Source organism: Homo sapiens, chromosome 1 (assembly GCF_000001405.40).
Source record: "Homo sapiens chromosome 1, GRCh38.p14 Primary Assembly".
NCBI classification, from domain to species: Eukaryota; Metazoa; Chordata; class Mammalia; order Primates; family Hominidae; genus Homo; species Homo sapiens.
This window is the reverse complement of record NC_000001.11, coordinates 244,621,439-244,647,943: the sequence shown is the minus strand read 5'-3', so window position 1 is coordinate 244,647,943 and position 26,505 is coordinate 244,621,439. Positions and strand designations below refer to the sequence as shown.

Sequence of the window (26,505 nt, the reverse complement as noted above, 5' to 3'; positions counted from 1 at the left end):
GCATAGAAAATCACTATTTCTTAGGTGGCCTGGGAGAGATCTAAGCTGCCCAAACCATTATAAAGGAAAATTAATTTTAAAGCTTATTGCTCTCTGTGTTGTAGAGATGAACTGAGTCTGTGTTTTATTTATTGTTCTGTTCCAAATTACCCCAAAACGTAGCAGCTTAAAACAGTTTCTGAAGGTCAGGAATCCAAGAGCGGTTTAGGTTGGTGTTTCTGGCTTTGAGTCTCTGGTGGAGCTGCAGTCATCTGATGGCTTGACTGGGGCCTGAGGATCTGCTTCCAAGCTCACTGACAGATCAGCTGGCAGGAGGCTTTAGTTTATCACCACATGGGCCTGTCTGTAGGGCTACTTATGACATGGTAGCTGTTCCTCCCAGAGCAATTGATCCAAAACAGAATGGGAGAGTCATCAACAAGAAAGCTGCAGTGTTTTATAACCTGGTCTCAGAAGTGACCTACCCTTACTTTTGCTATATTCTGTTGATCATACTGACCAACTCTGGAGCAATATGAGGTGATACTGCACAAGGGTGTGAATACATGGATCACTGGAGCCCATCCTGGAAGCTGGCTACCACAGATGGCTATCTAAAACTCTGTCACCTCCACTGAGGTGGTAGCCAGAGTGAAGAATGGCTTATGTGTTCCAGACCCCTGCTGGTTTCCTGTCTGCTCCACCATGAGAAATATTTGAGAGGTCATGCTCAGCTCCCCCCACCCTACTCCCCATGCCCCATCCTCTGTTAGATCAGTTGTTATTGGTTGACTATACTTACTGCAAGATTTGGATATACAGTGCAGTGTTAGAAGATGGGCATATGAATTCTCCAGTAGATCTTGAAACTGTTTATTTTCCACTTCAAAATGACCAGGTCCCTGAGAAGATAGCCTAGTTAGACAATTCAGGGGACAATGGTGCTCTTTGTCTTAGACGTCTTTAGTTATGAAGTTATGCATAATTGGAATTGATATACTTGACTTTTGAAGCCATTGGTAATTGTACCAGGTTGTTCAAATGAAAGTGAAATGTGATTGGCTAGGTTTTTGATAATGCTTTGCTAGTCTATATCTGGAGGTTATATTTCAGGCAAGACAAATAACTTTCCCTAGATAGGTGGTAAGGGTTCAACATAGCTCACTTCTCAATTCTGTGCCTCCCTCGTCTCCAAGAACATGATCCCCTATTGGTGACAAGATGGAGGTCATCCTTGTTGAAACTTGGGCAGTCAGCTTCCCTAGTGCCTTTTCCATTCTTAATGGGTACAACATTGATGCCACAACAACATGGCACCCAGGCATCTAGTCTACCATGGCATCTGTTCTACCGCGATCAGACCAGACATGAACTTGCTTTGTTAGTTATCTAAATGAGGATATCTACTTAGAAATTCCATAGAATAGGTAGATCATTGAATATTGTTGTTGATGTGAATGTGAACAGTTTCTCATCCTCTTTTCTCACTGGGATGGAAAAGAACAGATTTGCAGAGTCAGTAGTTGCATGCCGTATACCCAAGGTCTGATGAATCCGCCCTAGCAGTGACACCATATCTGGCACACCAGCTGCAACTGGTGCTATTACCTGGTTGAGTCTGCGGGAGTCAACAGTCATTCTCTAGGATCCATCTGTTTTCTGCAGACTGGCGATTAAACAAAGATACAACAGGGACCACCAACCCTGCATCTTTTAGGTCTTTAATGATGGTAATAATATCTGCCTCCCCCTGCAACCCGCCAGAATAACAGTTTTCTCACTTTGTCGGGGTTTGTGGAGGGGCCAGTTTCAGAGGTTTCTATTTGGCCTTTCCCACTCTGATTGCTCCTGCTTCACAAACCAAGGGCCTCGATGTGGGCGTTACTCCCACGGCCAAGTATATAATTCTAAGTATGTGCTTTGGAGACTGGGAGAGGCCCCGGGGTGGGTGGAGCCACTGTGGCTCTCATAGGCCCTCACTCTAAAGGGGAGGCTTGATGACACTTTGGGTCTCTGGGTATTAATGTCAACTGAGACCTGTGTGTAATAGTCCTCAAAATGTCTGCTTATTCCTCTTTCCCCAGGAAAGTCACCTGAGTAAACAGCCACAGGTCTCTGGGGGAATTGTCATGGTATATATAATACTTGCCACAGTGTTGCAGGATCCTTCTTCCTGGGAACCTGGCCGCCTCTTCAGTCAATGGGTTCTGGGTCTGAAAATGTACTCTGGGTCTCGGGACTGAGCAAGGGACCATGACTTTTTACTGGGGCAATGTCCCTCAGCCTCTTCTTTCATTCTTGTTTGTTATTATTATTGTAGACATTAACCAACAGCCTTGTAGGTCGGGGGGCACCTGTTGCCCTGTGAGGCCGAGGCTTCTGCAGCATCTTGTAGTACAGCAAAAGGGCTAACCCTTAATAGGGAGCAGTGGGCCATCTCTGCGTGCCCAGAGGCGGGTGGGAGGGGTGGAGGTTGCAGAGCTCAACACCTTCAGAGGCATCCATCCAGATTTTCCTGTCCTAGTTTTTAGGATCAAAAGTTTTCTCTACCAGGGCCTCAACGGCCCAGTAACAGACCTAAAGTAGCTGTGTGCAAACATTTCTGGAGCCCTGTGACTCCCAGGTCTTCAGCTTAGTGTTCAATTGTGTCTGCCTTTTTACTATTGGTGACGATGACCTCTTTATAAGAGACACTGCTTTTTATTCTTATCTCCATTAGCTGCTATGGCTCTCGGTCTCCACTTTGTGCAGGTCATTAGTATAACTCAATCATGTCTTTGTGATCCCCATGTTTTTCAAATCCCTTTACCATTGCACCTGCCATAGCTTTCCCCTCCACCAGGACATTTCCTCGGGTCACTATCAATGAAAACATTAAAAACTGAACCACCACCTACAGCCCAGGACTATCGCTGACCACATATCCCTTAGGATGGCTTCCTGTCTGCCTTCTGGGTGCTGGGTGAGCCAGTCCCAAATTACCATCTGACTGCCTGATTTCTCAGACCGCTCACTTATGACTTGTGCTAATCCAGGTCCTCTGAGAAACAGTTACTAACATGGGATTCAATGTGCAAGGATTTCATGCAGGGAAATACTTGTGTGAAAGGAAATAAAGAGCTGTGGAAGTTGAGAGACTTACCAGAGAGAGAGCGCGGGAGAGAAATGGTGCAGATTGAGATTGGATAGAGTTGCCTAAACTGCTGTGCAATCTAAGGAAGGTTTGGTAACACCTTCGGGAGTCCTTGAGCCAGGCTGATAAGAGTCCTGTGTCTACCAGCACTGGGTCTTCCTTAGTTTCCTCACTGCACTCGGTCACAGGTGGGGAACAGCCTGAGGGGCTGCAGGCTTGGTGCAAATGTGGTGATGAGTTTCAGAGGGCAGCAGCTGATGCTCTGGGTCAATTACACTCCTGCAGTGGGAGACTTGTGAGGGACAATCTCATGGCCTCCAGGAACCACTGATCTTCCTGCGAGCCTACTTACCACTGTGACAGGAGGGAAGCCAGAGTTCATGAGTAATGAACTTTCACGAAATATTCAATTCTTAGTTTTCAGCACAAGATCTAATTCTCTCTTGCTGACTCGAGGATTTTGATCCAGCGATTACCTCTTTCCTCCTGTATCATCAGTTTCTCCTAGCTACTGGATTATTTCCACCCATATTCAGTAACCTCTTCCTGACCTCACTTGTGCTCAGGTGCCTGCCATTTCTTTGCTCCTTGTCAAAAAAAAAAAAAAAAAAAAAAGTGAGGTGGGGGGAACTTCTTGAAAGAGTTGTCTGTACTTGCCTCCACTTCTTCATTTCCCAGCTCTTTGCTCACAGTAAGAGCAGCTTTACTTTTTATGATTAATTAAAACATTTAAGTACAATGTGGTGGGAAGTAGGAAGAAAGCAAATAGCATCCAAAATTACATCATTTTGTTAGGGGGAAGGGAAGGACAGGGAGTGATTTGTTAAAGCAGTGGTCCCCCACCTTTTTGGCACCAGTGACTGGTTTTGTGGAAGACAAGTTTTCCATGGACAGGGCATGGGGAAGGTGGGGAGCGGGAATGGTTTCAGGATGAAACTGTTCCACCACAGATCATCAGGCATTAGATTCTCATGTGGAGTTTGGAACCTCCATTCCTTGCACGTGCAGTTCACAATAGGGTTCGCACTCCTACGAGAATCTAATGCCACTGATCCGACAGGAGTTGGAGCTCAGGCGGTAATGCTCTGGTGGGGGTTGGGGACCCCTGTGTTAAAGGATACAAATTACAGCTAGATAAAAGGAAGAAGTTCTCCTGTTCTATAGCACTGTAGGATGACCGTTAGTTAATAATGATACAGAGTTTCAAATAGCTAGAAGGAGGATATTGAATGTTCCCAACACAAAGAAATGACAAACGTTTGAGATAATGGATGTGCTAATTACCTGATCTGGTTACTATACTTTATATGTATAAAACCAGCACTATGTACCCCATAAATATGGACAATTATTATGTCAATTAAAAAATATTTTCCTCAAAAAATGACATCATTTGAAGTTTGGTGACTTCCTTTGTCTTTACGTGCATACATATTGGTTTACATAGAAAGAACATTTTCCAGGCTGCTTTTCTATTGTTCCCCTTCACCCCAGTTTGGAGGGCCTTGTTTCTCTCTCTCTCCATCTCCATCTCTTGATACAGCCCCACGCCCCCTGTCGTGTACACACACGTGCATGCCTGCACACACAATGGTACGTATACTGCTGAAACGGGGCAGGTTCTCTTATCCCCCTGGCAGGGCATGCGATAGGCGTGTGGCTTGCTTCTTTGGTTCTCTGCCGCTCACACCTCTGGGAGAGCATGCAGACGGGCAGGTTGTGGGGCTCCGACCCCGGGCAATGTCTAAGGGCGAATGTTTACAGCCGAAGCCCCAGTGGGTGTGTGTTACAGGGTGTTCGTTCAGTTGAGCTGTCCATAGCAGCATGTGTTAATCAGCTCAATGAGGCCCTTGCCTTATTGCAAGGACAGAGGCTTTCTGTATCTTGGGTTTCTTGCCTTAGTGTACCCGAAGAATCAGATCACACGTGGGCTTGATTGAAGAATGAATGCAAGGTTTTATTGAGTGGAAATAGCTCTCAGCAGATGGGGGAGCCAGAAGGGAGATGGTTTTCCCCTGGAGTCGGGCACTTGGCAGCCAGTCTCTCCTCCCACCGTCCCGGCCAAACCCCCAAACTCCGCGTGGTTCCGCTGATCAATGGCCTGCCGGCTGTGCTCTCCAGCCCATGTGCTTCTCTCGGTGTCCAGCCGCCTGTGTGTTCTTTCGCTAATGTGTGTTCCTCTCGACGTCCAGCCGCTTGTTGTCTCTGCCCACTAGGGTCTTGGGGTTTTTATAGGCACAGGATGGGGTCGTGGCAGGCCAGGCTGTTCTTGGGAAATACAACATTTGGGTGTGAAGGCAGGAGTGCCTATCCTCACCTAGGTCCGTGGGCACAGGCCTGAGGGCGGATCCCTAGCCAGGGACCTGCCTTTCTCTACCCAGCACTTCCCTGTCCCCCGTCCATATCACTGCCATGCTTTCCTCCATGTTCTCAATCACACAACATTTATTTTGTTTGCATAAAAATAGGATCAGACTATAGATGCTTCCCTGCAGCTTGCTTTTCTCATTTAACAAAACCTTGTTAAAAACCTTCTAAGTCACTTAGCACAGACTTTGTGGTCAACGTACAATCAAACATTTATTCAACCACTCCCTGTTCACCTGTTGCTAGGTGTTAATTCTCTTTCTAGAGTTTTGCCACAGTAACTAATGATGCCATCTCTCTATATATCTGTATCTATCTATATGTATAGCATCTCTATCTATTCATCCATCCATCTACACCCACACATATACACATATCCTGATATACTGGTCCTCCCCATCCCACTGTGTGGAACGATTCCTAACAGTGGGGTTGCTGGGTCCAAGAGAGTCTGTATTTTTAATTTTAACAGATTTTGCCAGATTGCTTAAAAAAAAACTACAGCGATTTACATTTCCTTCAGAACTGCAAGATAATTTCCTTCCCATCCCTGACCCCCATTCCTTCTCAAGTATTATCACCCTTTGGAGTTTTTGCCGTCAGGTGAAAAATGCTGCCACACCGTGACTTTGGTTTGTATCTTTCCGACTGCCAGCCAAGGTTGAGTTTCCTTAGTGGATAATTACCTGATTTTGAAGCCAGTCTGCCTGAGTGTGAATTCCAGTTTCATCACGTACCAATGATATGCGCTTAGTAGATTTATTTACCCTCTATGTGCCAGTTTCCTCATCATCTCTATAATGGGATAATAATAGTTCTTGTTTCATAGGGTTATTGAGGAGGTTTGGTTATTAGAAAAGATCCTGGCATATAATAAACACTAAAAAAATAGTTGTTTTAAATATGTTTATTGGCTGTTTGGATATGCTATTTTGTGGGATGACTGCAACTTTGCTCATTTTCTATTGGGTAGTTTGTCTTTTCTCCCCCTATCTAGTTTCAGATCTTGTTTCACCTCTTTCATTAAATATTTTAAAGTTTTCTTCATATAGGTCATGTTCTTCTCATATTAAATTTATATAATTTGTCACTGCAATGAATAGATTATTTCTATTGCTAACAGATTGTAACTGTTATAGAGAAAGTATTGATTTGTAAATATTTGTCTAGTATAGAGCCATCAAATTCTGTTATTCTGGTAAAACTTGTTGTGAATTTTGGACTTTCTTAGCACATAATATTATTTAAAGAGAGGATTTTGTCTCTTTTTTCCCAGCATTTGTACTGTTTATTTTATTTTTCTCCTGTGACGTCAGAACTTTCAAAACAGCGATGACCAGCAGGTATCTCTGTCCTATTCTTGATTTTGGTGACATGAGCAATTCTTTGTGGACAGCAGCTTTGATCAGTGCCCGTGGAATTTCATCTTGCTTGTGATCTTCCATTCTTGATTGCCTGCACTGTGGATTTCAGACTTGTTTAGCCAGGCTCCACGATCACACAATCCAATTCTTTTCAAATATATCTCTTCAGAGGAGAGTAAGCGCGCGCTGGCGCACACAACACACACATGCACCCACACACACTCACCCACGCACCCCCCCCTCTGGTTCTGCTGCTCTGGTTGAACCCGGACTGATACATCCAAATACTAGTTATTTAGAAGGCTGTGGTAATATTTGGACAAATTAAGAAGCTTGTTTTGAGCATCAAAGTCAAAATGTAAAACTTAGAATTAAAATTTAGAGCCTGCTCCAAATTCTACAGGCTCATGCCTGTAACCTCATGAAAGGCTGGAGGATCACTTGAGCCCAGGAGTTCAAGACCAGCCTGGGCAACACAGCAAGACCCTGTCTCAAAATAAAATAAAATAAAATTGAGAACATCAGCTGCTCATTTTTAATATATTTTACATTTCATCTGTTAATTTACCAGTAGAAAAAAATCTGTTTAGGGCAGGTTATTTAAATCCACACACCTTTATTAAATCCTTTATATATAAATTAACTACAGTCATATAAGGTTTCATGTGAAAAGTTTCATGCAAAATGATACTTGACACATAGATATATTTTCAAAAATTCACTTTCATTCTTACAAAGGATTGTAATAGTCAAATTTAGTTTATTTTTTCATGCCATGTGAGAGTACATAGAGTATCTTTAAAATGAAGGCAAACAAAGGATTAATTTAATAACAATATATATGAAAACATTTCTATTTTGGAGATAGTTCAAGAATATTTTTCAGATCTTGAATTTGGTGATGCCTACTACGAGCTTATATTTAGTATTTCTTGGTCAAACACACACTCTCAATATCACTATGTAATACACTGTTTCTCTATATGCATATATCTGTAATAAACAAACTTTCAGTTTTCCTAATTCTTCTTACGTTTTCTTTGAGGTTTGTGAAGTGGTTCATAAATATATCGTCTATAAATCCTCATGTACCGAAAGTAGCTCAAAACAAGAATAGTGAAGAAGAGCAGCATCAGGACGAAGAGGAAAGAAGCTACCAGGTAGACACTTGGACTGAAATCAGAAAAAAAAAAAAAAGGCATTAGAAGTCATTGTTCACACTTTGGCTGTTAATTTATTTAAACACTTTTTGAATAGCTAGCTACTATGCCATTGACAGAGAGCAAAGGTGAATAAGACACACTGTCCACCCTCACAGTGTTTACCTTTTAGTGTTTGAGGCTGACAGGGAGGAAAATAGACAAGGTGATCAATGCAGTGATGCAATGGGAGGAGGAAATGAAGTTGGTTTTTTTTTTTTTTGAGATGGAGTCTCCCTCTGTCACCCAGCCTGGAGGGCAATGGCTCACTGGAAGCCCTGGCTCCTGGGTTCAAACCATTCTCCTGCTTCAGCCTCCCAAGCAGCTGGGATTACAGGAGGGCACCACCACACCCAGCTAATTTTTGTATTTTTAGTAGAGACGGGGTTTCACCATGTTGGCCAGGCTGGTCTCGAACTCCTGACCTCAAGTGATTTGCCGGCCTTGGCCTCCCAAAGTGCCAAAAGGGATTACAGGCGTGAGCCACTGCACCCAGCTAGAAATGAAGTTCTGTGGGAGCCGCACATCATGGAAGGCCTTCCAGTGGAGGGGATGTCTGAACTGAGCCTGGGCAGGAGTTAGCTTGGTATGAGTATGAGTGGGAGTAGGAGTTAGCTAGATAAAAATGCCTAAGAGTGGAGGAATAGACCAAGGTGGGAACAGTGTTTCAGACAAAGGGAGAAGGGTATGAGAAGGCATGGAAATGTGGTAACACCTCAGGACCACTCCTAGACATTCTGGAACTGCAGCTCCTTCAGTATGACAGCAGCTCAGGTGCCAAGGGGAGTGGTTGGAGATGAGGATTGATAGGTGGGCAGGGCCAGATGAGAAAAACTGCTTAAGTCAAGCTAGAGAGTGGGTTTTAGCCTAAGGCAGGAGAGAGCTTCAGAGGGATGATATAGGATTGACATTTTACAAGGATGATTGTGGAGTGTGAAGAATGGATGAAAGCAAAGCATGAGTGTGAAGGTAGAAAAGGCAGTTATGAAGTATTTGAATAATCCAGGTAAGCTACGATGAGAGTCTTCACAAAATTAATGGCCGAAGACATGGAGAGAAGCGGATATATCTAAGATACATGTAGAAGTTATATTGGATCAATCTTGGTGATTATTAAGATGTGGGGTTTGAGAAATATGAAGGAATAAAGGTTATCTTCCTTCCATATGGCTATATGTAATTGCCCTGACGGATCAGTTTTAAGGTAGATTAAATAATGGAATAGGGGAGCGTGTGATAAGATCATGAGTTCACTTTTGGACATGTCCAGTTTGACTAGTCTTTGAGACACCTAAGAGAAGAAGTTAAGTAGACAGTAGGATGTATGGCTTTGGACTGTTCTAGAGATATTATTTGGGAGCCATGTGTATATAGATGCTAACTCAAGTCATGATTGTGGATGAGCTTGCCAGAGTGGGAAGCTCAGGACAGGACTGAGCCTCAGGGGAGGCCAACATTTAAAGGCTGCTAAAGGAGGGTGAGGCTTTCTTTACTAGGGAGAGAGAGGCAGTGGCTACAGAAGTTTGGGAAAACCCACAGTGTGATACAACAGCCAAAGGTAGAGTCAACGCTGAAGAAAGATCTAATAAGATGAGGACTGGAAAATATCTATTAGCTCCATGAAGGCCAAAGCTATTGTAATGAGAACTAATCGGCAGAGTGATGAGATAGAAACCCGACTGGATGGATCGGAGAAAGAGGGCTGGACACAGGGAAATGGAGACTGTGAGTGTAGACAATACTTTTGAGAAGTTTTGTCCTGCAACGGAGAAACTTGAGGGTCACTAAAAACCTATTAGAAGGATCTAGTTGAAAGGGAAAGTTGAATATACAGAAGAGAGAAGGAATAATTCATTTGAAAGTTTCCTCAGTAAGTGGAGAGGAACAGATAGTGTGCAAAGCATAGGTGGAAGAATTATATTTAAAAAGGAGGAATAATATTGCCTTTGTTGTAACAGGACGGAAAGAGGAGAGGATGGATGTAGATGTTAGTAGATTTTTATGTTTGCAATCTGGAATAGAGGGCGTTCCTGTCTGATGGTTTCTAATTTCTTTGTGAGGGTGGAAACAAGCTCATCTGATGATGATTAAGGAAAGCAGGTTTGAGGAGGAAACTAATTAGATACAATCTGAAATCGCTATTACAGAGAATGCTGCTCAGGTGTAGTCACAGAAAAAGTAGGTAGTTGGGGATTTGCCAGAGGGAGTAACAAATCCCAGAGGGGTGAGGGTGTACTGGTAAGTGTTGTTGAAATAATAGACTTTGAAATGTAAGGAAATGCAAAGTAAAAAAAGAGAGATTGGAAGTAGAGGTGGAGGTTCCAGTAAGGGTGAAGGGGGGTTGCGGTGGGTGTCATGGATTAACAAGCTGGAAGGACAGGAGGTCGTGATCAGAGAATGGGATGTCTGGATTGATGCTTTAGGAAGCAGAGAAGTTACAAGTAATGACAGTGTGGAAGGTGTAACTATGGGAGTGGATGGCTGAAGTGCAGTAGAGGGAGGTCACCAAGGATGTGGTAAGGCCACGATTTTGGATGCTGGATGCGAACACTGATGGTGGGGCTTGACGTGGAGAGGAAAACAGTGTGAGTGTGACGGGGCCAAAGTTGAGAATGAATGCAGCAGACTGTGGGGAGGACATGGTGATGAGGACAGACAGCTGGGGCTGCAGCGGACGCCATGAGCCTCAAAGGATCGGGTAGGTTTTGTGTTTATTTTTTTGGTTTTGTTACAAGAACGAGGATAAATAATATCTGGAATTGGTAATAGGGCCCCCTGAGGTACATGGCAGGTGAAAGAAAAGAGCACCACTCGAGAGGCCAGAAGGTGGAGCAGTGTCCTCGGGGGAGAGTCTGGTTTCCCCAAGGAGAGAGAGGGAGGGCTCAGAGGATGGTTGAAGATCTGGGTGAGTCTGCTGGTTAAAGGATGGCAATTCCAGAGAGAGAGCAGAATGGAGACACTGGGCAAGTGGTGGGGTTGAGTGCTGGACTAGGAGCAAGGAAGTGCCGAGCTCTTTGCCTTCTACAAACTCATCTCCAGTCGCTGCTCTAGAAAAGGACTCAATTAAGAAAATATCAACCACCAGCCAGCCCTTGTCTGCCTCTGCTACCCTTCAGGGCCCAGGTGTTAACAGAGGCTAACCTACAGTCACTAACCAGACTATCCTGTATGCTGTGCTCATATGCCCTGGCTGCTGGACTCTAGCTGCTGGCAGGTGAGAGCGGGGCAGGTGAGTGAGATCCTCCTCCTTTGCTCTTTCTCCTGGCTAACTCACTTGACTCCTTCTTCGGTTGGTGGGTACTTGGGTGGGTATATACCTTAATATTCACCTAAATCAAACATACCAACCCCATGACCTTAATATTCACCTAAATCAAACATACCAACCCCATGAGGAAAAGTCACTAGGAAAAGGTTCTGCATGTTTCCCAAAGTTATGTAGAAACAACTCTTGACTTCATTTGCAGATTATTCACACTATTAACATTCCATTAATACAAAAACTCCAGGAGTCAGTCATATTTACAGTAGGGCCATGAGTAACTTAATTGTTTTTCTTACGCCCTTATTTAACAATCCTCTCCCCTCCCCCGCAAAAAAAACCCATCAAACAAAACCCAAACACCCAAATTCCAAACACCAGGCCCAAAACAGAGTAGCAAAGTCATTTGGGGTCCTAACTTCAGTATTAGGACTTTTCATTCTGCCCTCCAAGGGAACTGGAGCTGAGTCCAGGGAAATCCCTTTACTGTTTCCTAAATGCATCAGAATGAGGGTCTATGGTTGAAAGCTGACCCAGGCTTAGAGCAGAGGGCACAGCCACTGTCACCTCCCAATCCCTACCACTGCATTCTGGCATCTGCCAAGTAGGAGGAGCTGAGACATGTTTGATAGGAAGGCAGTGGCTGTTGAGTGGGATGGCACGAAAGGGGACCTTTGCTGCAGTAACAGTTCTCAGGAATTCCTTCCTGCTGTGCCCCTGTATACACACTATACACACATACAATTTTTAGGATGTCATATAGGGGGCAGAAGTACCAGGGCTTCAGGGAAACAGCAAGTTTCTGTCATTTGGGAAGATAGATTTCATAGCCCCCCAAAAATCTAAATATAGACTTATTAAAACCATTGACTTTGCAGTGAACACTTCATACAAGTTTTTTGTTGTTGTTTTAGGATTCATTTGCATTATATACTGTATAATAATAATTTTCATAATAAGATTTAAGCTGGGGGCCCTGAAAAGTGAGTGCACAGGCTGCTTCTGGGAGACACGGGGGAGAGGTGCTTTTCCTTCTTAGCTGCCATTTGTGTCTTAGAAATTCCCTAATTAAAGTCCAGTTAGGCCCTGCTCCTTACCTGGGAATCAGTCCAAATGTCTCTATTGCAAACATAGCTGTTAGGTTACAGAAACTGCAAAGCAGAAAAATAATATGAAAGATTACACTAAGTACAATATATTTTAAAACGCTCTCCATGTCCCTATGGTAACAATCAAACCATATATAATCCTAGTTAAGGTGTCATTTTCTTGACAAAGGACAGAATGGATACATTTATAGAACAGCTGTGATTATTTTTCCATATGTACAGCTCAGGCTTCTCTGAGATTCCTGAAGAGCTCTCTGTCCTAACAGCCTGACATCATTTTGATAGTGGTTCCCAAGGCAACAGGAATAATGGTATTAATAATAAGTATTGGCAGAAATAAAAAAAAGCTAACATTTATGAGTATTAATACTTATTGAAAATGAATACTGGCAGGCGCGGTGGCTCACACCTGTAATCCCAGCCTTTGGGAGGCCGAGGTGGGCAGATCACCTGAGGTCAGGAGTTTGAGACTGACCTGGCCAACATGGTGAAACCCCTTCTCTACTAAAAATACAAAAATTAGCCAAGCATGGTGGTGGGCACCTGTAGTCACAGCTACTTGGAAGGCTGAGGCGGGAGAATCTCTTGAACCCAGGAGGCGGAGGTTGCAGTGAGCTGAGATTGCGCCGCTGCACTCCAGCCTGGGCGACAGAGTGAGACTCCATCTCAAAAAAAGAAAATGAATACTAATTGAGCATTGCTATGTACTAGGCGGCATGCCAAACGCTTACATGCATTATCTTAGTTGATCTTCACAGCAACCCTTCCTTTTAGATGAGGAAACTCAGATGAGGAAGCTCAGATAGGTTAAGCAACTTGAGAAAGTTTACACAGCTGTTAGTAGCAGAGCTGGGATTTGCATTCAGGTTTTTCTGACCCTGCTGCCCATCATGTTGACCTGATGTAGGCTAACTCCTTCAGGAAGCTGAGTATTAGGGGCTCCATCTGTAAAACTGTATTATCATTTCTAATATTACAGAATGTCTCTCATTATTAAGTATATTGCTTGGAATGAGGCAGGATATAGCTAAGCAAACATTTATGACATGATTTCACCTACCTACATGTGGGAGAACACAGAAGAAAGGAACTTATTTTTATTATTTGTTATGTGCTTGGCAAAGTTAGAGATTTTCACCCAGATGCTTCATTTACCCCTCAGAATACTGTAAGACAGGTATTATCGACCCATTCTACAGATACAGAACGGCTCAAAAAGAGTAAGCAATTTTCTTTAGACTGAATAGCTAGTAGTGGCAAAACTGGGATTCAAACCAAAGTAGACTCTACCATTATATCAACTTGTGGAATTGGCATGTAAATACAACCCACAAACAACAATACAAGATACTATGTTATAAATTCTAGGCTGGGCACGGTGGCTCACACCTGTAATCCCATCACTTTGGGAGGCCTAGGTGGGAGGATTGCCTGAGCTCAGGAGTTGGAGACCAGCCTGGGCAACATGGTGAAACCCCATCTCTACTAAAATACAAAAAATTAGCCAGGTGTGGGGGTCTGTGCCTATAATCCCAGCTACTTGGGAGGTTGAGGCAGGAGAATTGCTTGAACCGGGAGGCGTAGGTTGCAGTGAGCGGAGATCGCACCACTGCACTCCAGCCTGGGCAACAGAGTGAGGCTCCGTCTCAAAAAAAAAAAAAAAAATGAGTGATGTAGACACCTGTCACAGGAATTTTCACAGCACGGCAAAGAGGCTTGTGTTGAGTCCTAAAGGTTGGAGTTTAAATAAGGATGAAGGGTTAGGGCATTCCAGGTGTAGGGAGAGATGAGCAAAGGTTTGGAAATGGGAATGAATTTGTGAGGTTTAAGGGATAATGAGGAAATATCTTGGTGCATGTAGAGGAAAGTAGTGGGGGTTTTGTGTGCGTGTGTGTGTGTGTGCATGCGTGTGCTCATGCCTGCACATGTGTCCTCCAGAGGGCTTTAATGAAAGGCTTAGGAATTTTGACTTTACCCTTTTTGTATAAAGGAGTCATGACTGTTTTTGAATTTAATTCAATAGCAGTTTGTAAAGTGATTTGGAATAGATTAGATGTAAGTGGGCCATATGGAAAAATTATACATAGTAGTAAACAACCCAGCTGTGTGATAATGAGGTCTAGACTTGGGTAGAGGCAATTGTGACTGAAAAGAGGGCCAAGTTGACCTTTGATAGAATGAAATTGTGATGAATCAGCATGGAATAAGTGCAACTGGAACTTTATGGTTTAAAAGTTGTTAGATGTAGTGTTGTCAAATGGATTGAATTGGTTGATAGCACAGTTAGGTATTCTGTATCCTTACTGATTTTCTCTCTACTTGTCCTATCAATTTCTGAGAAAGGAATGTTGAAATCTCCAACTGCAATTAGGGGTTTGTCTGTTTCTCTGTTTAGTTCTATCCGTTTTTGTTTCATGTATTTTGAAGCTGTTTTAAAGGTAAATCCACATTTAGGATTATTACACCTTCTTTATCATTATGTAATGTGTCTCTTTATACCTTCCTTGTTCTGAATTCCTCTTTATCTGCTATTAATATGGCCAATCTGGCTTTCTTTTGACTACTATTAGCATGGTTTATCTTTTTTTATCCTTTTACTTTTAATCAATCTATGTCTTCATATTTAATATAGGTTACTGGTAGACAGTCTGTAGTTAGGTCTTATATTTTTATCCAATGTGACAATCTCCGTTCTTTAATTGGGATATTTAGACCATTTGTATTTAATGTAATTGTTGATATCGTTAGAGTTAAATCTACAGTCTTGCTATTTGCTATCATTTTGTTGTTCCTTTCTCCTTTTCTTCTGTCCCTTTTTGTATTAATAAAGTTTTTTTAATGATTCCACATTATCTTCCCTATTGGCTTTTATAGGTTTGTATCTTTTTCTAATGTGGTTTGTATACAATATCAATCATTAATTTATCACATTTTTCTGGCAAATAGTATACCATTTAATGGTATACTATTTGTATATATACCATTCTTAAGTATAAGAATCTTAAAACACTATGCTTCTAATCCTTACTCCCATCCTTTGTGCCATTGTTTTCATCCATTTTACTTTTATTACATGTTATAAACCCCATAGTATTTTCTTTTCTTTTCTTTTTCTTTTTCATTTTTTTTTTTTTTTTGAGTTGGAGTCTCACTCTATTGCCCAGGCTGGAGTGCAATGGCATGATCTTGCCTCACTGCAACCTCCGCCTCCCAGGTTCAAGTGATTCTCCTGCCTCAGCCTCCCAAGTAGCTGGCATTAAAGGCGCACACCACCATGCCCGGCTAATTTTTGTATTTTTAGCAGAGACGGGGTTTCACTATGTTGGCCAGGATGGTCTCAAACTCCTGACCTCATGATCTGCCCACCTCGGCCTCCCAAAGTGCTGGGATTACAGGCGTGAGCCACCACACATGGCCACAGTATTTTCTTTATTTTTGCTTTTTGTTTGTTTTTTAATCTTTTGAGACAGGTTCTCACTCTATCACCCAGGCTAGAGTGCAGTGGCACCATCACAGCTCACTGCAGCTTCAACCTCCCTGGCTCAACCAATCCTCCCACCTCAGCCTCATTTGGGTGAATACCAATGAGTACGACTGCTGGGTCATACAGTAAGAGTATGTTTAGTTTTGTAAGAAACTGCCAAACAACTGTCTTCCAAAGTGGCCACACCATTTGGATTTCTGTCAGCAATGAATGAGAGTTCCTGATATTCCATATCCTTGTCAGATTTGATATTGTCAGTGTTCTGGATTTTGACCACTCTAGTAAGTGTGTAGTGGTATCTTATTGTTTTAATTTGCATTTTCTAATGACATAAACATGTTGAACATTTTTTCATATGCTTTTTGTCATTCATTTATCTTCTCTGGAGAGGTGTCTGTTCAGATCTTTTGCCCATTTTTAAATCTGGTTATTTTCTTATTGTCGAGTTGTAAGCGTTCTTTGTATATTCTGGATAATAATCATTTATTGGATCTATCTTTTGTAAATATTTTCTTCCAGTGTGTGGCTTGTCTTCTCATTCTCTTGACATTGTCTTTCACAGAGCAGAAGTTTTTAATTTTAATGAAGTCCAGCTTTTCAATGATTTATTTCATGGATCATACCACTGGTGTTTATCCAAAAAGTCATAGCCATATGCGAGGTTAATTAGGTTTTTTCCTATGTTAGTTATCTTCTATGAGTTTTATAGTTTTGCATTTTACATTTAGGTCTATGATTTCTATATTCCCTTTTTTTTATTTTAGAGATGGGATCTTGCTATGTTGAGCTTGAAGTGCTGGGCTCAAATGATCCTCCCCATCAGCCTCCTGAGTAGCTGGTACTGAAGGCATGCAACACCATGCCCAGCTATATTACTTTTACTGAGGTGTTCATGTTGCAAGCATAACCCAGTTCTTATCACGCTCCATCTCAACAAACACGTTGTTTCTAGACAGATTTAGATCCTACCAAGTTCTAGAGAGCAATATGAAAGTCAAACTCAGGAGAGGAAGGGTTACACAGAAAAATAACTGCAGAATTTTGCTAACTTATATAAGCAATACCCTAAGAATATGTATAGAAAAAATGAATTCTGAGAGTGTTAGACCAAGGAAGTGTAAGCATAACTCTAGGTCATATTCAATTGTTGATATGAATGCATTAAATGAAGTTGAGATGCAAGAAATCCTTTATTATAATGTATAGAAATAAGTCTAAAGACTTAGAGAAAGGGGAGTACTGGAGTGAATTGATCAGATGCGAACCACTCATTCTCCCTGAGATAGGACCCATAAGATACTCCTTTCACCATGGCATTGAGAACTACATCAGTGACAGAAACACCAAAGGTTTTGATCCCAGAACACTTCCCAGTAAACTTCCTGCATGCTAACCTTCATCTCAAAGTTTCCTTTCCAGGGAACCTGCAACACCTAGAATAACTCAATTTAAGTTATTTGGTTGAACTGTTCCGAAGACTGATGAGTTTTGGGGACTGATAGAATATTATGAGATTAATCAGTAGTTGCTATCTCCCCCACGCAATGTAGTCTCATCGAAGAAGCAAATCCATACCACCCCCAGCATCTGATAAGCAGCCATTCATTTAGCAAATTATTCCCTCCTCCCCACACCACTAACATGTAAATCTTTAACAAACTGCTATTCCAACCTGAATGAGTTTTGAATTCCAGATACTTAAATATATTACACTGTACAGAAAACAGTAAAACTCAAAAAGTACACATGATGTGGGAGCTTTCACCACCATCCCTCAACACTCTGATATCTGCAGAGCAAAGAACATGAGCTTTGCTATCAGACTGACTGAGGCTCAAGTCTTGTTTCACTACATTCTCTGTGGCCCTGGGCAAGAAACTCAACAGGCAGAAAGGATCAGAGGCCGTTTGCTTTCACCTGGGGAATACCGTAGTCCACCTCCCTTCTTGCTTCAGGACCACATCCACTCTATGATCCTGCTGTCATGGAGTTTGTTTTCATCATCATCTCATAGAACATCATGCTGGTCCACTATATTGATGATACATGACCTGGAGGGCAGGAGGTAGCAGGTACTGCAGATATATTAGTAAGATAAAGGAGACAAGGCCAAGTGTCGTGGCTCACACCTGTAATCCCAGCAGTTTGGGAGGCTGAGGCAGGTGGATTGCTTGAGGTCAGGAGTTTGAGACCAGCCTGGCCAACATGGCAAAATCCCGTCTCTACTAAAAATACAAAAATTAGCCAGGCATGGTGGTGCATGCCTGTAATCCCAGCAACTCAGGAGGCTGAGGCACAAGAATTGCTTGAGCTTGGGAGGCAGGGACTGCATTGAGCTGAGATCATGCCATTGTACTCCAGCCTGGACCACAGACCAAGACTCTGTCTCAAAAACAAAAGATAAAGGAGACAATGCCAAGCCTGCTGGCTCACACCTGTAATCCCAGCACTTTGGGAGGATTGATTGAGGCAAGGAGTTCAAGACCAGGCTGGGCAACATAGCAAGACCTTGTCCCTACCAAAAAAAAAAAAAAAAAAAAAAAGGTAAGAGAGACAAGTCCCATGAGTTGTGGGGTACATGATATACTGTTGAGAGTAAAAGACAAGTTCCTGCTTTTTATACTTCCTTCCACAAGAAAGGGATATGCCTTTTTATGGCACACTTTGGATTTTGGAGGCAACATGTACCGCACATAATTTGGATGTGCTTCTCCAAATATGCAGAGGGACCTGAAAGTCAGCCAGAATGAGGTCCAGGGTGAAAAGCCCGTCTAGATGGTCCAGGTGATGCAAACGGGGCTGAGATCTGACTCTTATGACCTAACAGATCTAAAGGTGCTTGATATGTCTGTGGCAGAGGAGGAAGCTGTGTGACTGCGGAAGTTCTGATGGGGAATATCAGCAGATGCCTCTACAGTTTTGAAGCAAAAGCAAGTACTCTTGGGCAAGTAACAGTTCTCTTGAGAAACCGCTCATGGCTTAGGTATTGGCAGAAATTGAACTTCTGACCCCCAAACACCAAGTAACCATGAAACCTGGGTTGCCTCTTATAACTGAGTGTTAGTCTTATCTCTAACACCAGGAAGTCAGAAGTGCTCAAATGAACTCTGTCATGAAGTGTAAGTACAGAACTGGTCTTGGGATGCCGAAATGCACAAATAAGCACGTGAATAGCTGACTCAGCTCCCATTTGCCTAGATGTGGGGAGTTCCTCGCTGATGAAAAAAATATGAGAAAGATTTACAGATTGCTCTGAATCTAGATGTGGACAGCTGTGGCGCTATAGCTCCATCCAGATGTAGTCTTGAGGAACAGTGGAGAAGAAAAGGCCTCCGAGCATAAAAATCTTCAAGTACGATAATTTTCCCACTTTTCCTAATAGGAGAGATGGCCTGAGGCATAATCACAGGCAGGGGTAAATATGTGGTGACATGGCCAGGACTTGGAAAAAACAAGAGTTGATGAGAAGAAATATTAGGGAAAAGCATGGAGATGAAATTCTTAGAATGAGACTAGTAGATCTGAAATTTGGGGTTTTATGTGAATGTTTATCAAAACACTTTTACTAGAGAGGAAGCTCTTACTTTACCACCTGAGCACCATATGGTTAGCCTATTTCCCCAGCTACTCGAATGCTTGCTCAATGGGCTCATAAACAATGGGGCTGTGGTGCCTAGTATGGCCTTATAAGCATGGATTTCCCTTACCAAGGATGACCTGGATACCACCACTACAAAATACCATGCACTAGTCCCCCTTTATCCACAGAGGATAGTTCCAAGACCCCCACTAGATGCCTGAAACCATGGATAGTACCAGACCCTACATATAGCTATGTTTTTCCTATACATACAAACCTATGATAAAGTTTAATTTGTAAATGAGGCACAGTAAGAGCTGAACAATAACTAGTAATAAAATAGAACAATTATAACGACATGACAGCATCACTACTTTTGCACTTTGTGGCCATTACAAAGTAAAGTAAGGGTTACGGGAACACAACAGTATTGCTTTAACGCTACAATGGATCTGATAGCCAGGATGGCTATTAAGTGACTATCAGGCAGGTTATGCACATAGCACTGATACACTAGACAAAGAGATCATTCACATCCCAGGCTGGATGAGGTGGGACAGTGCTACATTTCATCATGTTGCTCAGAATGGCATGCAATTTAAAATCTATGAATTGTTTACTTCTGGAATTTTCTATCTCATAGTTTTGGACCACTGTTGATTGTAAGTAAGTGAATCATGGGAAGCGAAACTGTGGATAAGGAGAAATAGCATGCAGGTAAACCTTGTTTTATTGAGTTTCCCTTTACTGTGCTTGGCAGATACTGTGAATGGCACCAACAGGCTTGCTCAACACGGGATTAACACAAACCTTTGATTTTTATAAACATCATGTGCTTGCTTTGTGTCTGTCACATTTTGGTAATTCTCACAGTATTTCAATTTTTTTTTTTTTAACAGGGTCTTGCTCCGTCGTCCAGGCTAGAGGGCAGTGGCACAGTCACAGCTCACTGCAGCCTTGACCTTCTGGGCTCAAGTGATCCTCCCTCTCAGCCTTCTGAGTAGCTAGGACTACCGACACATGCCACCGTGCCTGGATAATATTTTTTAAAAAATTGTTGTAGTGATGGGATCTCACTGTGTTGCCCAGGTGAGTCTTGAACTCCTGGCCTCAAGCTGTCCTCTCACTTTGGCCTCCCAAAGTGCCAGCCTTTTTCACTATTATTATATCTGTTATAAGATCTGTGGTCAGTGATCTCTGATGTTACTATTGAAAGTGTCCTGGTGCACCATGAACTGCGACCATATAAGATAGTGGACTTAATCAATGTTACGTATGCTCTGACTGATCACTGACCCCCATCCCGCATCTCTCCCCTCAGCCTCCCTACTTCCTGAGACACGGCAATATTGAAGTTAGACCAATTAATAACCTTAAAATAGCCTCTACGTGTTCAAGTAAATGGAAGAGGCACATGTCTCTCACTCTAAATCAAAAGCTAGAAATGATTAAGCTTAGTGAGGAAGGCATGTTGAAAGATGAGACAGGCTGAAAGCTGGGCTTGCACCGACAGTTAGCCACATCGTGAATGCAAAGTTTTTGAAGGAAAATTAAAAGTGCTACTCTAGTGAATACATGAATGGTAAGAAAGTGAAACAGCCTTATTACGGATATAGAGAAAGTTTGAATGGTCTGGACAGATAATCAAACCACCCACAACATCCCTTAAACCAAAGCCTAATTTAGAGCACTCTCTTCAATTCTAGGAAGGCTGAGGGAGGTGAAGAAGCTGCAGAAGGAAGGTTTGAAGCTAGGAGAGGTTGGTTTATGAGGTTTAAGGAAAGAAGCCATCTGCATAACATAAAATTACAAGGCAAAGCAGCAAGTGCTGATGGAGAAGCTGCAGCCACTGATCCAGAAGATCTAGCTAAGATGATTGATGAAGGTGGCTACACTACACAACAGATTTTCAGTGTGGATGAAGCAGCCTTCTGTTGGAAGAAGATGCCATCTAGGACTTTTTTTTTTTTTTTTTTTTTTTGAGATGGAATTTTGCTCTTGTTGCCCAGACTGGAGTGCAATGGTGTGATCTTGGCTCACTGCAACCTCCACCTCCTGGGTTCAAGCGAGTCTCCTGCCTCAGCCTCCCAGGTAGCTGGGATTACAGGTGCCTGCCACCACACCTGGCTAGTCTTGTATTTTTAGTAGAGATAGGGTTTCACAGTGTTGGTCAGGCTGGTTTCGAACTCCTGATCCCAGGCGACCACCCACCTTGGCCTCCCAAAGTGCTGGGATTACAGGCGTGAGTCACCATGCCCAGCCTCACCTAGAACTATCATAGCTAGAGAAGAGAAATCAGTACCTGGCTTCAAAGCTTCAAAGGATAGGCTGACTTTCTTGTTAGAGGCTAATGTAGCTGACGATTTTAAGTTAAAGCCAGCAATCATTTACCATTCCAAAAATTCTAGGGCCCTTCAGAATTATGGTAAGTCTACTCTGCCTGTGCTCTATAAGTGGAATAACAAAGCTTGGATGACAGCATATCTGTTTACAGAATGCTTTACTCACTATTTTAAGCCCACTGTTGAGACCTACTTCTCAGAAAAAAAAAAAGATTCCTTTCAAAATATTACTACTTGGCCGGGCATGGTGGCTCACACCTGTAATCCCAGCACTTTGGGAGGCCGAGGCAAAAGGATTGCTTGAGCCCAGGAGTTTGAAACCAGATTGGGCAACAGAACCAGACCCTCTCTCTTATTTTAAAAAGTAAAGTAAATAAATAAATAAAAGAATAAAAATAGGCCAGGCGCGGTGGCTCACACCTGTAATCTCAGCACTTTGGAAGGCCAAGGTGGGCGGATCACAAGGTCAAGAGATCGAGACCATCCTGGCCAAGATGGTGAAACCCCGTCTCTACTAAAAATACAAAAATTAGCCGGGCATGGTGGCACATGCCTGTAGTTCCAGCTACTCGGGAGGCTGAGGCAGGAGAATTGCTTGAACCCTGGAGGTGGAGGTTGCAGTGAGCCGAGATCGCACCACTGCACTCCAGCCTGGAGACAGAGTGAGACTCCATCTCAAAAAAAAAAAAAAATATATATATATATATATATATATATAAATAATAATAATAATAATAAAAATAAAGTAAAAAATAAATAAATAAACCCCCCCAAAAAACAAAATATTACTACTCATTGACAATGCACCTGGTCACCCAAGAGCTCAGATGGAGGTGTTCAAGATCAATGTTGTTTTCATGCCTATCATGCCTACTAACACAATATTCATTCTGCAACCCACGATCAATGAGTAAGTTTGACTTCCAAGTCTTACTATTTAAGAATTACATCTCATAAGGCTATAGCTGCCATGGATAGTAAATCCTCTGATGTATCTGGACAAAATAAATTGAAAACCTGGAAAGTATTCACCATTCTAGATGCCATTGAGAACATTCATGATCATGGGAGAAGGTAAAAATATCAACATTAGCAGGAGTTTGGAAGAAGTTGATTCTAACCCTCATGAATGGCTTTGAGGGATTCAAGACTTCAGTGGGGGAAATCACTGCACATGTGGCAGAAATAGCAAGAGAAGTAGAATTAGAAGTGGAGCCTGAAGATGGAACTGAATTGCCACAATGTCATGATAAAACTTGAATGGATGATAGCACTTTGCTTCTCATACATGAGCAAAGAAAGTGGTTTCTTTTTTTTTTTTCTTTGATGGACTCTCGCTCTGTCGCCCAGGCTGGAGTGCAGTGGTGCGATCTCGGCTCACTGCAGCCTCTGCCTCCCAGGTACAAGCAATTCTCCTGCCTCAGCCTCCCAAGTAGCTGGGACTACAGGCGCCCATCACCATGCCCGGCTAACTTTTTGTATTTTTAGCAGAGAAGGGGTTTCTCCATGTTGGCCAGGCTGGTCTCGAGCTCCTGACCGCAAGTGATCCACCCGCCTGTGACTCCCAAAGTGCTAGGATTACAGGCATGAGCCACCACACCCAGCGTTGCTTTCTTGAGATGAGATCTAATCCTAGTGAAGTTGCTGTCAATACTGTTGAAATAACAAAGTGTTTATCATATTACATAAATGCAGTTGATAAAGCAGTGGTAAGCTTTGAGAGGATTGACTCCAATTTTGAAAGTTCCACTGTGGGTAAAATGCTGCCAAACAGCATCGCATGCTACATTGAAATCTTTCATGGAAGGAATAGTTTCAGCAAGCTTCACTGTTGTCTTATTTTAAGAAACTGCCGGCCAGGCGTGGTGGCTCACGCCTGTAATCCCAGCACGTTGGGAGGCCGAGGTGGGCGGATCACGAGGTCAGGAGATTGAGACCATCCTGGCTAACACGGTGAAACCCTGTCTCTACTAAAAATACAAAAAAAAAAAAAAAATTAGCTGGGCATGGTGGCGGACGCCTGTAGTTCCAGCTACTTGGGAGGCTGAGGCAGGAGAATGGTGTGAACCCGGGAGGCAGAGCTTGCAGTGAGTTGAGATTGCGCCACTGCACTCCAGCCTGGGCGACAGAGTGAGACTCCGTCTCAAAAAAAAAGAAACTGCCACAGCCACCCCAGCCATCAGCAACCACCACCCCAATTAGTCAGCATCCATCAACACTGAGGCAAGACCCTCCATCAACAAAAAGATTATGACTTGCTAAAAGCGCAGATGATTGTTGGCATTTTTTAGCAATAAAGTATTTTTTAAATTAAGCTGGTTATATATTTTTTAGACAATGTGCAATGCTGTTGCACACTTAATAGACTACAGTATAGTGTAAACATAAGTTTTGTATGCACTGGGAAACCAAAAAATTCACATGACTCGCTTTACGGCAGGGGTCTGGAACTAAACCTACAGTATCTCTGGGGTGCGCCTGTATTTGGTAGTGGCAGCAACCAACCAAAGCCTTCTCTGTGTATATGAATCCAGAGGCATCAGACAGCCATCTGGTGACAGGTTGATTATGTCATGGAGGGGACAGTGATTTATTCTTTCTGTGACATGTTTGGGATTTGAATTTGCCTTTTCTACAAAGCCTCTGCCTGCAACACCACACATGGATATAACGAGTGTCATATGTATTTTCATGTTATCCCCACAAGATTGCTTCTAGCCAAGGAACTCACTTTAAAGCAAAAGAAGGTAACGAGGTGGTGGCTCACACCTGTAATCCTAGCACTTTGGGAGGCCAAGGTGGGCAGATCACCTGAGGTCAGCAGTTTGAGACCAGCCTGGCCAACATGGCAAAACCCCATCTATACTAAAAATACAAAAATTAGCCAGGTGTGGTGGCAGGTGCCTGTAGTCTCAGCTACTCGGGAGGCTGAGGCATGAGAATCGCTTGAACCCGGGAGGTGGAGGTTGCAGTGAACTGAAATCACGCCACTGCACTGCACTTCAGTCCGGGCAACAGAGCAAGACTCAGTCTCAAAATAAATAAATAAATAAATAAATAAATAAAAATAAGACAAATGGCTGATATACATGTAATTCACTAGCCTCATAGAATAGTAGCATGGACTTTTAAGGCTGCTATTTATTATGAGGGTAATCATAATTACTGGCTACCTAGGACACTTTTGGTATATACCTGCTGCTTGGGTGTAAATGTTAATAAAGCTTTATTTTACTCGCAGAAGTGCTCTGGTGTGGATGATTATATTATAAAGCTGTAAAGCTAGCAGGAAAGGTTATCTGTGAGGTTGGGGAATTCTCTTTGGATGAAGTAAATACTCTTGTCGGTGAGTAAGATTTGGAGGTGTTTCTCCCACAGCCAGAATATGGGAATCTAAGAACCAAAGTGATGGAACTGGGAGTGGAATTTCACGATTTCACTTATGGCCCCAGGAATGTACAGATAGAGATTGCTAAGAGCTCAGATTCCTTAGGAATGAAAATTGACAGCCTGGCCAACATGGCGAAACCCTGTCTCTACTAAAAACACAAAAATTAGCCGGGCGTGGTGGCACATGTCTGTAATCCCAGCTACACGGGAGGCTGAGGCAGGAGAATCTCTTGAACCCGGGAGGTGGAGGTTGCAGTGAGCTGAGATCACGCCACTGCACTCCAGCCTGGGTGACAGAATGAGAACCTGTCTCAAAAAAAAAAAAAAAAAAAAGAAAAGGAAAGAAAATTAAGGTTATTCTGCTAGGAAATAAACCTGAAATGCTGGCTAAAGACATAGTGAACATAGGTTAGAAAATGGAGAAAACAAAAAATACTAACTATAGCTTCAGGACCACATATAGATACTAGGAATATAGTATCTGTACTTATTTTCTACCTAGCTGTCATCTATTTGAACTGATCTTTCTTTCTCCCATTTCCCCTAGTCTTTTATTACATAAAACCTTACGGTGTGTTGGTAGTGGTAAACTCTGCCACCATAAAGGCCACAGGGTACAGAATAGGAAGGCAGGATCATGACAAAATTAGAGGAGGCCTGGGTGTCATTCAGACTTTGGACTTGGAGATAGATGCGATAAACTGTGAGACTTCAGTTTGTTCCCTTTTGGGGCCTAATAAGTACATTTGTGATTATTTACGGTTAATGACACTGTGGTAGGTGGAGGTATTTGGAAGTTGAACTTTTTGGAGAAGTAAATGATGATGTGGACTGTAGTGGACATTTGTTCTTTCAGTTGACTAATTTTCTTTTCATGAATGCAGTCTCTTGTTTAATCTGTGTATTGAGTTTTTAGTTAAGCTGATTATATTTTTCATTTTTAGAAATCTTCTCTGTTTCTTTCCAGGTCTTCTGGTCAGCTTGGATAGTTTCTTGGTCTTTCATCATACTTTCAGAGCTCTCTTATAAATAAATTTCAGCATTTAAGCTAAGATATTTTGTATTCTGTATCTAATAAACCCAGTATTGGAAGACTTTGTAGGTTGGTTTTGTGGATTGTTGTTTCTGTTGACCCTGGTTTGTGGTTTCTCCTTTTCTTATGTTTTGTTGGTTGGCGCTTTTCCTTTCGGGATTTTCTGAGGCTTGAGCTTAAAGCACAATCCTCCAGAGGGTATATACATTTGCTTCTGCTGAGCATATTGGAGGCACTCATAAGCTGGGGCCACTTTAAATTTT

The 26,505-nt window shown here is 42.5% G+C and overlaps 1 protein-coding gene across 15 annotated transcripts in view, besides 2 other annotated features; it reads right to left on the bottom strand.

Moving 5' to 3' along the window:
- Positions 4,669-5,222: an enhancer, noted in NCBI's record as "H3K27ac-H3K4me1 hESC enhancer chr1:244806024-244806577 (GRCh37/hg19 assembly coordinates)". NCBI's record gives its function as "activates a minimal SCP1, AML or CMV promoter by ChIP-STARR-seq in naive H9 embryonic stem cells {active_cell/tissue: H9 hESC(naive)}" and the evidence as "EXISTENCE:reporter gene assay evidence [ECO:0000049][PMID:30033119]".
- The window catches only part of CATSPERE (catsper channel auxiliary subunit epsilon), a 189,263-nt gene continuing 170,197 nt past the window's right edge, over positions 7,440-26,505 (bottom strand). For 14 of the 15 annotated variants that reach the window (XR_001737095.2, XM_011544138.3, XM_017000947.2 and 11 more), the window contains 2 exons: positions 12,402-12,455; positions 7,440-8,016 (listed from right to left, as the gene is read on the bottom strand). Coding sequence is in view for 13 of the 15 variants with exons in the window: in XM_011544138.3 (XP_011542440.1) it covers positions 7,863-8,016; positions 12,402-12,455 (208 nt within the window). In the remaining 2 variants the exon portion in view is untranslated. Of the gene's footprint in view, positions 8,017-12,401; positions 12,456-26,505 lie in introns of those variants that run through there. The other variant, XM_017000951.2, reaches the window with a different exon arrangement.
- Positions 23,391-23,591: a silencer, noted in NCBI's record as "peak807 fragment used in MPRA reporter construct". NCBI's record gives its function as "represses an SCP1 promoter by STARR-seq MPRAs in K562 erythroleukemia cells {active_cell/tissue: K562}" and the evidence as "EXISTENCE:reporter gene assay evidence [ECO:0000049][PMID:32103011]".